Source organism: Homo sapiens, chromosome 3 (genome assembly GCF_000001405.40).
Source record: "Homo sapiens chromosome 3, GRCh38.p14 Primary Assembly".
Classification (NCBI taxonomy): Eukaryota; Metazoa; Chordata; class Mammalia; order Primates; family Hominidae; genus Homo; species Homo sapiens.
Genome location: NC_000003.12, coordinates 49,504,918 through 49,517,988, shown reverse-complemented (window position 1 = coordinate 49,517,988; position 13,071 = coordinate 49,504,918). Strand labels below are relative to the sequence as shown.

At 43.9% G+C, this 13,071-nt stretch overlaps 1 protein-coding gene across 55 annotated transcripts in view; it reads right to left on the bottom strand.

Annotated features, from left to right (window-relative positions):
- Nucleotides 1–13,071, bottom strand: part of DAG1 (dystroglycan 1) — a 66,668-nt gene that overhangs the window by 17,627 nt on the left and 35,970 nt on the right. For all 55 annotated transcript variants that reach the window (XM_047447546.1, NM_001177643.3, NM_001438888.1 and 52 more), the window contains one exon: nucleotides 7,170–7,570. In XM_047447546.1, the coding sequence (XP_047303502.1) occupies nucleotides 7,170–7,454 (285 nt within the window). In that variant the 5' untranslated portion in view covers nucleotides 7,455–7,570. The remainder of the gene's footprint in view (nucleotides 1–7,169; nucleotides 7,571–13,071) is intronic.

The window sequence follows — 13,071 nt, the reverse complement described above, 5'->3', positions numbered from 1 at the left end:
TTGACAACCCTGCCACATGTGGGCACTGGCCTTTCTCTGCTGAGGAGCCCAACTCCATGTGCTCCCAACAACTTCTCAAATTCCCCACATGGAGCTCTGCAACCCACCACTGTCCCACATGTCTTACCGTTGTTGCTCCACCTCTGTTAATGCTTTATCACATAGCAAGCCTTTAATTAGGCATCTACTTCGAAACAGGTCCTATGCCAAGTATCTAGAACCCTACACAGGGAACAATGATAGCTTACCAGCCAGACATCACCTTTCACTCAGACTCTCCTTTCACTTTCATCAAGGTTGGCCCTGATCTTCCAAACCTGTGGTCCTGCAGCCTTCATTCCAAAAGCCAGAACTGTAAACCAGCCATTTACTTAGCAATCAGTTTTGGGCCCAATGATAGGTCAGCTTCTGCTCTGGCTCAAAGATGCCCACATGCATGGCAGGTTGTACAAACCCGTCTCATCACATGTGACACCATCCATGTCAAGGCATACCCAGTGTGTCTCTCTCTTCCACAGCCCTGCAGTGTCAGAGGTCAGAGGCACGGTAACAGACAACTACGAGGGAAGTCTTCTAAAACTGACTAGAACAAAGCATTAAATTATAATTCCAAAGCATGCTGACACACAAAATAAACACAGGTCAGTTACCTGAAGATAAGACCTTATATACTACAGGCTCAAGAAGCCTCTTGGGGGCTGGGTGCGGTGGCTCTCTCCTGTAATCCCAGCACTTTGGGAGGCCGAGGCGGGCGGACCACAAGGTCAGGAGATCGAGACCATCCTGGCTAACACAGTGAAACCCCGTCTCTACTAAAAATACAAAAAATTAGCCGGGCATGGTAGCAGGCACCTGTAGTCCCAGCTACTCAGGAGGCTGAGGCAGGAGAATGGCATGAACCTGGGAGACGGAGGTTGCAGTGAGCCGAGATAGCACCACTGCACTCCAGCCTGGGCGACAGAGCGAGACTCCGTCTCAATTAAAAAAAAAAAAAAAAAAAAGCCTCTTGGGTGCTCCCTACAAACTAACTCTGTCCCTACAAGCTATGTGCTCCGAGATAAGTCACTTAGCTACCACTTTGTCATCTAAAAATGGAGCCACACTATCTGCTGAACGGCTCAAAGAAGCAAGGAAATCCCAGTGGCAATGAACTCACCTAGCACCCAGATCTGAACCCCCAATAACATTCACCACAAAAAGGAATCAGGCTCCTTGAAGAAATGGCTGAGGGAGGGTGAATACAAGACAGGCCTGGAGCATCTTATCCCAGAAAGTAAGGAAGCACTTAATGATTGACAGGGGCATATCACAAGAATACAGGAACCAACTTAAAGGGGCTCCCAATGGTCAAATCTGGGACAATTTGAACACCACAATAATTAAGATGAGCAATAAACTATTGAATATTAGGAAACAGTGAGTTTGTACTAATAATGGATCAATAAACACACAGTCAAGTGTTAGAGGGACAGGGTGGGGCCACTTTCCAATGTGAAAATACAACAAGAAGTCATTTGAAAGTGTGTGTGTCACAGGGCCTGAGGCCTCAAAACACGGCAAGACCATAGTACACTGTGGGGCAGCAGGTGAACTTAGTCTCTTGCTGCCCCAGCACAGGCTAGCATTTCTCCCTGCATACAGCAAGGCAGGCTTTGACAATCCAAAACAGGTTTGCAGGTGCTAAATGAGTCCTCATTCCCTTTGCCAGCCTACAAACATTTGAGGGCCTACTATGTGATGGAAGGCAAACATGACTAACAAAAAACAAGAATTTCAAATACAGAAATCTGCTAAGAAGAAGATGACACAGAGTTTTGTGGGAAAGCTGCTTTTACCAGGGTGGAAGGAAAGGGCTCCAACAGATGATGTCCAAGTTGAGCCTGAAAGATATGGCTGTACCCATGACAAAAGAAGAAAGAATCAAAAGCTTGGGGTGGACCCTAAGCTAGGTGTGTTCACTGGGCAGAAAAGGACCAGTGTGGCTGGGACAAAGTATACAAAGAAAAAGATGTGGGAGAGGAGGTCACAGGCCAGATCATATGGGGTTCGATTCTTGGTGCAGCTCAGTAAAAAGGGATTTTGAATAGATTTAAGCTTTAGAAAGATAAAGACATCTCTTGACTCAATATGGAGAACAAATTGAGAGGTCAAGAACAAAGGCAGGGGGAGCCTAGGAAGAAGTAAGCAAGCAGTAGCTTGGATGAAGGGCAGTACCAGTGGGCCCAAGATGACTGGGGTCGCCTCAACAAGCATCCTTAGGACCAATATCTGAAATGTTCCTCACACACTCAAGAATAGTGGGCAGGCTGGGCGTGATGCTCATGTCTGTAATCCTAGCACTTTGGGAGGCTGAGGCAGTAGGATCACTTGAGCCTAGGAGTTCAAGACCGGCCTGGGCAACAAAGTGAGACCCATCTCTACAAAAAAATTTAAAAATTACCTGGGTGTGGTGGCCCACACCTATAGTCCCAGTTACTTGGAAGGCTGAGGTGAGAGGATTGCTTAAGCTAGGAGGTGGAGGCTGCAGTGAGCCATGATAGTGCCACTGCACTCCAGCCTGGGCAACAGAGCAAGACCCTGTCTCAAAAAAAAAAAAAAAACAACACAAGAATATTAGGCAGCCATTAAAAGTTACATTCCCACATAACATTTAATGACTACAGGTAAAAAAATACTCAAGCTACAGTGAATGAAAAATGTTAAAAAAAAAAAAAAAATAGGCCCGGGACAGTGGCTCATTCCTGTAATCCCAGCACGTTGGGAGGCCGAGGCAGGCAGATCACCTGAGGTCAGGAGTTTGATACCAGCCTGGCCAACATGGTGAAACCCCATCTCTACTAAAAATACAAAACGTGGGCTGGGCAAGGTGGCTCACCCCTGTAACCCCAGCACTTTGGGAGGCCAAGGTGGGCGGATCACGAGGTCAGGAGTTTGAGACCAGTCTGGCCAATATGGTGAAACCCTAGCCGGGTGTGGTGGCGCATGCCTGTAGTCCCAGCTATTCAGGAGGCTGAGGCAGAAGAATAGCCTGAACCCAGGAGGCGGAGGTTGCACTGAGCTGAGATCACGCCACTGCATTCCAGCCTGGACGAAAGAGCAAGATTCCATCTCAAAAAATATATATATATGTGTGTGTGTGTCTATGTATGTGTACACACACACACACACACACACACACACACATATGCCAGGAGTGGTGGTTCAAGCCTATAGTCCCAGCTACTCAGGAGGCTGAGGCAGGAGAATCGCTTGAACCCGGGAGGCGGAGGTTGCAGTAGGCCAAGATCACGCCATTGTACTCCATCCTGGGCGACAAGAGCGAAACTCCATCCCCCCAAAAAAACACAAAAATTAGCCAGGTGTGGTAGCGCATGCCTGTAGTCCCAGCTACTCGGGAGATGGAGGCAGGAGAATCATTTGAACCCGGGAGGTGGAGGTTGCAGTGAGCCGGGACTGTGCCACTGCACTCCAGCCTGGGCAACAAAGTGAGACTCTGTCTCAAAAAAAAAAGGTTAAAAAATATATCCACTATGATCCTAGGTCTGTCTAATATGTTAAGACGTCTGTGTGTGTATGTGGCATGACCATCTCTTGATGAGCATAGAAAACGGTAGAGGACTTCACTCTGAATGGTAGAAACCACAGATTTTTTTTCCCTTTCTATATTTTCCACAATGTACATTTATGCATCATTATTATAATAAGAAAAAAATTCCTTTAATATAAAGACTTTCTAAATCCTGCTTTACAGATGCAGAAACCAAAGCTCTAGGAACAAGATCAGGCTTTCTGACCTTCTGACTCCCCAACCCATATAATCCCGGTGGTTAAGACTGGAACGAAGAGTCACACATCTTCATCTGTTTTTCTACAAGCTCATCAGCTACTAAATGGTCTGCTTTCCACAGATAAATATGCTCAGATAAAATCCTGTTTTCTCAGTAAAATCTCTTCACCCCCTTGGTAAATAAGCCTGTTAAACATCTCTCTGCCAAATACAACAAATATCTAGTTTGCTGTATCAGTTCAAGGCACTTCTGGCCAAGATTAATCCACGTAAAACATTCCAATGGCTACTGGAACAAAGGCAACCAATGCAGGGTATGGATATTCAGGATTAAATCTGAAGCTGAGCAAGAAATGTACCTTCCAGAGCCACCACTCTGTATCTAATGGTCAGATTAGCATCTAGCTTGCTGGGATATTACAAAGATGACAAGGAAACTTTATGCAAACACTCTGCAAACTAGGAAGAGCTCTGTGAACTGCTACATGTGAGCTGCTACATGGGCCAAGATCTTCAGAAATACGGTTGCCCCAGAGACCACAAGGTCACTCTGAGAACAAGCCACGGCTTAAAAAGAAGGTGACCAACAGGGAAAAGGAGGCGAACACAAGAAGGGAGCAGGCTGAAGGGGAGGTCCACCCAGATTCAGGGAAAAGGGCACAGACTCACCTCTGCAAGGAAAGAGTGGCATAGAACTTGTGGCCATTTCTAATCTAGAAGCCTGGGGCTTACGGGTCACGGGGGCAAGCTGGTAAACACCCATCAGAGTCTATATGTGCTTTGACCAATGGAGTAAAATGGAAGTGTTGTTGGGCAAGTTCTGGGCCTTAAGAGATTGGGCAGCTTCCTTTCCTATTTCTTGAAATACCTAATCTTAAAATCCATCTATCGTGCTTTGAGGACACCTAAGCAGCCCATGGAGAGGTCTACATGAAGAGGAATCAAGGACACTGACCAACAGCCCCAGCTAAGCTCCCTGTCAACAGGCAGCATCAACTTGCCAGCCATGAATGAGCCAACTTAGAAGTGAATTCCCCAGCCCCAGGTGAGCCACTCTACCTAGTACCATGTGAAACAGAGATAAGGTTCCTTATCTCTGAATTCCTGGCCAAAAAATGTTGAGTAAAACAAGCTGGTTGAGTTAAACCACTGTTTTGGTGGTTTAAACACACCAACAGAAAGCCAGAGCACTAAATGTATGTAGAAGTCTGAATGCAGAGATCATACAGAAAATACCTAACAAAGTATAGGTCTCAGAATACTTTTAGTTCACATGTAGGCCACACCTCTAGAGAAGGAATGCTGTAGGGCAGGAACCAGAAGTTTGAGACCAGCCTGGCAGACAGAGTAAGACCCTATCTAAAAAAAATTTTTTGTAACTAATTTTTGTATTTTTTGTAGAGTTGGGGTTTCACCATGTTGCCCAGGCTGGTCTCAAACTCCTGGGCTCAAGCAATCTGCCTCCCTCAGCCTCCCAAAGTGCTAGGATTACAGGTGTAAGTCATCACGCCCAAACTAAAAAAAAATTTTTTTTTAATTAGCTGGGTGTTGCGAGGCTGAGGCAGACAGATCACCCGAGATAAGGAGTTTGAGACCAGCCTGGCCAACATGGTGAAACCCCGTCAGTACTAAAAATACAAAAATTAGCCGGGCATGGTGGTGCGCACCTGTAATCCCAGCTACTTGGGAGGCTGAGGCAGGAGAATCACTTGAATCTGGGAGATGGAGGTTGCAGTGAGCTGAGATTGTGTCATTGCATTCCAGCTTGGGTGACAGAGAGAGACTTCATCTCAAAATTAATTAATTAATTAAAATAAATTAAAATTTAAAAATTAGCTGGGCGTGGTGACGTGCGCCTGTAATCCTAGCTACTGAGGAGGCTGAGGCAGGAGAATCACTTGAACCCAGGAGGCGGAGGTTGCAGTGAGCCAAGATTGTGCCATTGCACTCCAGCCTGGGCGACAAGAGCGAAACTCTGTCTCAAAAATAAATAAATAAATAAATTAGCTGGGTGTGGTGGTGCACACCTGTAGTCCCAGCTACTTGGGAGGCTGAAGAGGGAAGAAGGCTTAAGCCTGGGAGGTTAAGGCTGCAGAGAGCCATGGCTGTACCACTGCACTCCAGCCTGAACAACAGAGCAAGACCCTGCCTCAAAAAAAAAAATTGTAAAAGAATATTTCTTTCTTGACATATGAAATTCAAAAATCTGTTTCAAGTCAGAATGGGACTATAAGTGTAAAAAATTAAAAAAGAAAAAGTATCCACCGTAAAGTTTTATTGCCCATTGATTTATATATTGTAAAGGCTACTTTAACACTACACAGGCAGAGTCGAGGAGTTCTGACAGAAACCATATGGCCTGCAAAGCCTAAAATATTTACTGCCTGGAGCTTGGTGCAGTGGTGCATGCCTGCAATCCCAGCACTTTGGGAGGCCAAGGCAGGAAGATGGCTTGAGCTCAGGAGTTCAAGACTAGCTTGAGCAACATGACAAAACCCTATCTCTACAAAAAGTACAAAAATTAGCCAGGTGTGCTGATATGTGCTTATAGTCCCAGCTACTTGGGAGGCTGAGGTGGGAGGATCACTTGAGCCTGGGAGGTCAAGGCTACAGTGAGACATGATCATGCCAGTGCACTCCAGCTTGGGTGAAGTGTGCTGACTTCTGCTCTAGAAGATGTTCATAACTTGAGGGGTACATCCCACCCACCTGTCCATGAAACAAACTCATTTAAGATCTAGGGGAAATTCCATGGTTCCACAAACTCAGACAGAGAGATGGTGCTTCATCACACAAAAGCTTCCTATTTCACCTGATTTCTATCCTGGGTCAACCAAGACACTCTTCTCTACACGGGCCTCAGATTCCATTGTTCTCTGGATGGCTTCTCCAAAGGATATGGGGCAAGGCTGAAGTTTGGGTACTAATTTTGGTTCTTAAGTGATCAATTACATTAGCCAACATACATCAGCAAATCAGAGCAGAACTCCTATATTTATTTATATCTTATTTTAAAAAGTAAGTTCAAAGCATAAAAGTCCTATTTTTTGGGGTTTAACTCTGTGTTTTATTAAAGGTAACCTTTCCCTATACACGTGACAGACCTTTCCAACAAATCCCTAAATCAGTGTTCAGTAGAACTTCCAGAGTAAAGGCTATTACATGGTGATGCCCTCAGAATAGGAACAAGAATACAGTTTAGGATGCTATTCTGAGTATATAGGGATTCTCTTATGAACATCAGTGGCTGTCCCTCTTCTAAGGGGGTACTGGAAGAACTGAGCTCAGAATTGGTGAAGCTTAGACTTGAAAAGGAAAAGCCACCAAAACTAAAATGGAAAATGAGAACTCTTCCTCATTTATGCTTTATATCCAGTCTCACCTTGATGATATCTCCACTGGAGGCAATCAAATCTGTTGGAATGGTCACTCGAAATGAGCGCCCGACGACAGCCGTGCCATCAGGAATGCCAACCACTGTGGGAACAGCCTCGTGGAGGTCTGAGAGCACTGAGTGCATGGATGCCTCAAGCTGGTTTTCCCAGTCCCTGACAGCCTCTGAGGGTTCACTGGGCCAGTGGGACTGAGCCATAACCACAGAGAGCAGGAGGAGAAAGGTCCTCCCCGAGAGGGGCAGCAGCAGCGAGAGGCCCACAGACATCCTCATCCCAGGTCCAAGTTTGCTCAAGTCGATAGTCTTGCTAAGTAAGGAAGCAAGTGACTTGGTCCCAGAGCTGGGTTCTCACCCTCTGCACACCTGCTCCATCCCGGAGCACACAGAGCCTGAAAAAAAAAGAAAAGCAGGTTTAGACTTGAGCAATTCCAGTGGTTCAGTCACATACTATCCTCCAGGAGTTACTGTCAAAAACATCTACCCCGAGTTGGATCAAGCCTCTTACCCCCATGGTCTCTTATACAGAAACCAACAGTTTCGTGCAACTCCTTAGCACTGGAAATGTAGCTGATCCATTAAATATAAAATATACACTGGATTTTGAAAACTTCATAAAAAATGAATGTAAAATGCCTCATTAATACTTTTAAAATATTGATTGCAAACTGAAATGATATGTATTAGTAATATTTTGAATACAGTCAGATACATTCAATAAAATATATTAAGTAAACAATAAGTATTAACAAAGAATAAATAATAAAGAAATGTATTAAACAAGACGGGCACCGTGGCTCACGCCTATGATCCTGGCATCTTGGGAGACTAGGGTGGGTGGATGACTTGAGGTAAGGAGTTTGAAACCAGCCTGGCCAACATGGTAAAATCCCATCTCTACTAAAAATATGAAAATTAGCCGGGCATGGTGGTGGGTGCCTGTAATCCCAGCTACTGAGGAAGCTGAGGCAAGAGAATCACTTGAACCCGGGAGGTGGAGGTTGCAGTGAGCCGAGATTGCACCACTGCACTCCAGCCTGGGTGACAGAGTGAGACTCGACCTCAAAAAAAAACAATAAAATATTAAGTAAAATATATGATTGAAATTAATTTAATCTGCTTTTCTTCATGTGGCTACCAGGAAAATTTAAGTGACATATGTGGCTCATGTTATATTTCTGTTGGGTGGCACTGCTTTAGACCTAACTTCCAATTTACAGGAAATATGGGAGCTATGCAAAGAAAATCACACAAATCTAGAATGTGGGATCTTCTGCCAAACAACTGGCCTGGTCTCTCCAAATGCTGACATCCCTAAACATAAGATGACTGTTCTCGATTTAGAGACAGCAACCAGACTTGATGTGTGTATCTTTCTAGGGGTAGGGGAGTGGGGACAGAGAAGGTTCTTGCTCTGTGGCCCAGGATAGAGTACAGTGTCATGTTCATAGCTCAATGTAACCTTGAACTCCTGGGCTCAAGTAAATAGCTGGGACTTCAGGTGCACACCACTCCACTCAGCTAGTTTTTAAAAATCTTTTGTACAGACAGTGTCCCACTATGCTGCCCAGGCTGGCCTCAAACTCTTGGCCTCAAGTGATCCTCTCACCTCAGTCTCCCAGGATTAGAAAGGTAAGCAATCTTGCCCAGACAATGTGTATCTCTTGACTGGATTCTGGATTTACTTTTTAAAAAAACCCATGAGTCCAGCTCCCAAAGGGGTAATTGAGGAATTTTGCGTGTAAACTGGAAATGGGATTTACTGTTATTTTTCTTAGGTGATATGATGGTAGTAAGACTCTATAGGGAATCATCCTCAATCTTATGAATTGTATTTTGAAGTACTTAGGGATGAAGTGTCAAACACTCTGCAACTCACTTCAAAATGATTCAAAGAAAAAAAATGTATACATGTATATATAGAGATACATTCATGTGGCAACTGTAACAATGAGGCTTAGAAAAATGCTTTGAGGCCTGGCGGGCGGGTGCAGTGGCTCATGCCTGTAATCCCAGCACTTTGGGAGGCTGAGACAGGAGGTTCACTTGAAGTCAGGAGTTCAAGACCAGCCTGGCCAGCATGGTGAAATCTTGTCTCTACTAAAAATACATGCCAGGCATGGTGGCTCACGCCTGTAACCCTAGCACTTTGGGAGGCCAAGGCAGGCAGATCACCTGACGTCAGGAGTTCAAGACCAGCCTGGCCAACATGGTGAAACCCCGTCTCTACTACAAATACAAAAAATTAGCCAGGCGTGGTGGTGCACGCCTGAAGTCGCAGCTACTTAGGAGGCTGAGGCAGGAGAATCCCTTGAACCTGGTAGGCAGAGGTTGCAGTGAGCGGAGACTGCACCACTGCACTCTAGCCTGGGTGACAGAGCAAGACCCTGTCTCAAAAACAACACATACATACATATACACAAACAAATACAAATACAAAAATTAGCCGGGTGTGGTGGCAGGCACCTGTAATCCCAGCTACTCGGGAGGCTGAAGCAGGAGAATTGCTCGAACCCAGGAGGCAGAGGCTGAAGTGAGCTGAGAATGCACCATTGCATTCCAGCTTGGGCAACAAGAGCAAAACTCCATCTCATTATTAAAAAAAAAAAAAAAAAAGCAAAATAAACCAAAAGCAAGCAGAAGGAAATAATAAAAAGCAAAAAACCCCAATGAAACTGAAAACAAAAACAGAGAAAAACCATTGAAACAAATAACTAGTTATTTGAAAAGATTAATAAAATTGATCTCAAGAATGATACAAGAAAAAAGAGAAGACAATTACTAACATCAACAATGAAGCAGGAGATATCACTAGATATTGCAGACATCAAAAGAAAAATAAGGAAACACTATAAACAACTCTACACAGACAAATATGAATCAAACTAAACGAACAGATTCCTCTCAAAAAATACAAACTACTACAACTCATCCAATATGATATAATTTCTATTAAGAAAATTATTTTACAGAGGCAGAAAGGATAAAATTTTTTTTTAAGACAGAAGTCCCAGGTACTCAGGAGGCTAAGGAAGAAGGTTGGCTTGAGCCCAGCAGTTCAAGGCTGTAATAAGCCATAATCACACCACTGCACTCTAGCCTGGATGACAGATTGAGACTGTCTCAAAAGAAAAGGAAAAGATAAAGGAAAGGAAAAGAAAAAGAAAAAGAAAAAAAAAGAAAAAAAAGAAAAGAAAAATATTAAGGAAATTGAATTTGTAATTTTTTTTTAAATTTATTTATTTATTTGAGATGGAGCCTTGCTCTGTCACCTAGACTGGAATGTAGTGCACAATCTCGGCTCACTGTAACCTCCGCCTCCCAGGTTCAAACAATTCTCCTGCCTCAGCCTCCCAAGTAGCTGGGATTACAGGCTCCCACCACTACGCCCAGCTAATTTTTGTATTTTTAATAGAGACGGGGTTTTGCCACGTTGACCAGGCTGGTCTTGAACTCCTGACCTCAGGTGATCCGCCCACCTCAGCCTCCCAAAGTGCTGGGATTACAGGTGTGAGCCACCACGCCTGACCCTGAATTTGTAATTTTAAAACTCCCACAAAAAGAAATCTACAGGCCTGAATGACATCAGCGGTAAGTTCTACCAATCTTTTCTTTTTCTTCTTTTTCTTTTTTTTGGAGAAGGAGTTGGCCAGGCTGGTCCTGAACTCCTGACCTCAAGTGATCCACCCGCCTTGGACTCCCAAAGTTCTGGAATTACAGGCATGAGCCACTGCCAGGCACAAACTCTTCCAGAAAGCAGACAAGGAGGAAACACATCCTGATTCATTTTGTTTTAATATATTGAATTTTCTTTATTTAACTTTTTACTTATTTTTCTTTTTTTTTTTTCATTTTTCTTTTTTAGAAATGGGGTCTTGCTACATTGCCCAAGCTAGATTTGAACTCCTGGGCTCAAGCAGTCCCCACCACCTCAGCCTCCTGAGTAGCTAGGACTATAGGCATTTGCCACCATACTTGGCTCCAATTCATTCTATTAAGGTAGCATTATCCTGATATCAAAATCAAACCAAGATATTACAACAAAACTATAGACCAGTATCTATCATGAAAACAGACACGAAAGTCTTTAAGAAAACATGATCAAACAGAATTCAGCAATATATTAAAAGAAATATATACCACGACCAAGTGGTACTTATTCCAGAGATGCAAGGAGAGCTCAATATTTGAAAATTAATCAGCTCAATATTTGAAAATTAACCATATTAACAGGCTACAGAAAAAAAATCACATGGTCATACCAATTGATGCAGAGAAAGTGTCTGACAAAATTCAACACTGATTCATAATAAAAAAACTCTCAGACAAATAGGAACAGAGGGGAACTTCTTCAACTTGATAAAGAGCATCTACCAAACACCCCTACAGCTAACACTGTATTTACTGGTGACAAACTGAGTGACTTATCCTTAAGAACAGAAACAAGGCAAAGAATGTCCACTATCACCATTCATATACAACATAATGCTAGAAGTTCTAGCTAGTGCAATAAAGTGAGAAAAAAAGTATAGTGGCCAGGCGCAGTGGCCCACGCCTGTAATCCCAGCACTTTGGGAGGCTGAGGCCGGTGAATCACCTGGGTCAGGAGTTCAAGACCAGCCTGACTAACATGGTGAAACCCCATCTCTACTAAATACAAAAAATTAGCCAGGCGTGGTGGCGGGCACCTGTAATCCTAGCTACTCAGGAGGCTGAGGCAGGAGAATCGCTTGAACCCAGGAGGCGGTGGTTGTAGTGAGCCGAGATCAAGCCACTGCACTCCAGCCTGGGCAACAGGAGTGAAACTCTGACTCAAAAAAAAAAAAAAAGAAAAAAAAATAGGCCGGGCGTGGTGGCTCACGCCTGTAATTCCAGCACCTTGGGGGGCCGAGGCAGGTGGATCACCTGAGGTCGGGAGTTCGAGACCAGCCTGGCCAACATGGAGAAACCCCATCTCTACTAAAAAAAAAAAATACAAAATTAGCCGGGCATGGTGGTGCATGCCCAGCTACTCAGGAGGCTGAGGCAGGAGAATTGTTTGAACCTGGGAGGTGGAGGTTGCGGTGAGCCAAGATGGCGCCATTGCACTCCAACCTGGGCAACAAGAGCGAAACTCCGTCTCAAAAAAAAAAGTTTGGCATACAGATTGGAAAAGAAAAAATAAAATTGCCCTTATTTGCAGATGACATAATTGTCTATGTAGAAAATGCCAAAGAATCCATAAGAAAACTCCTTATAGTCCTATATCAGTTCTATAATAAGTGAGTTCAACAAGGTCACAGAACACAAAAACATTCAAAAATCAATTGTATTTCTATATACTGCAACATGTGGACACCAAAATTAAAAATACAGTATCATTTAAACTATTCAAAAAAATTACTTAGGTGCAAATCTAACAAAACATGTACACAATTTGTATGCTGAAAACTATGCATACACCTGTGATCCCAGCTACGCAAGAGGCTGACGGAGGAACCCAGGAGTTTGACACCAGCCTTGGCAACATAGTAATTAAAAAAAAATAAGGGCGGGGTGCAGTGGCTCATACCTATAATCCCAACAATCTGGGAGGCTGAGGCAGAAGCATCACTTGAGCCCAGGAGTTAGAAACCAATCTGGGCAACACAGTAAGACCTCATCTCTACAAAAATTTTAAAAATTAGCCAAGTGTGGTGGCATGCAGCTGTGGCCTCAGCTATGTGGGAGGATCGCTTGAGCCCAGCAGGTCAAGGCTCAGTGAGCCACATTCACACCACTGCACTCCAGCCTGGGCAACGGAGCAAGACCCTGTCTCAAAAATAACAATAGTAATTTTAAAATTAAAAAAAAAAAAAAAGAAGAAGACTGTAATGGTGGAGGGACAGATACATAGACCAATGGAATATAATAG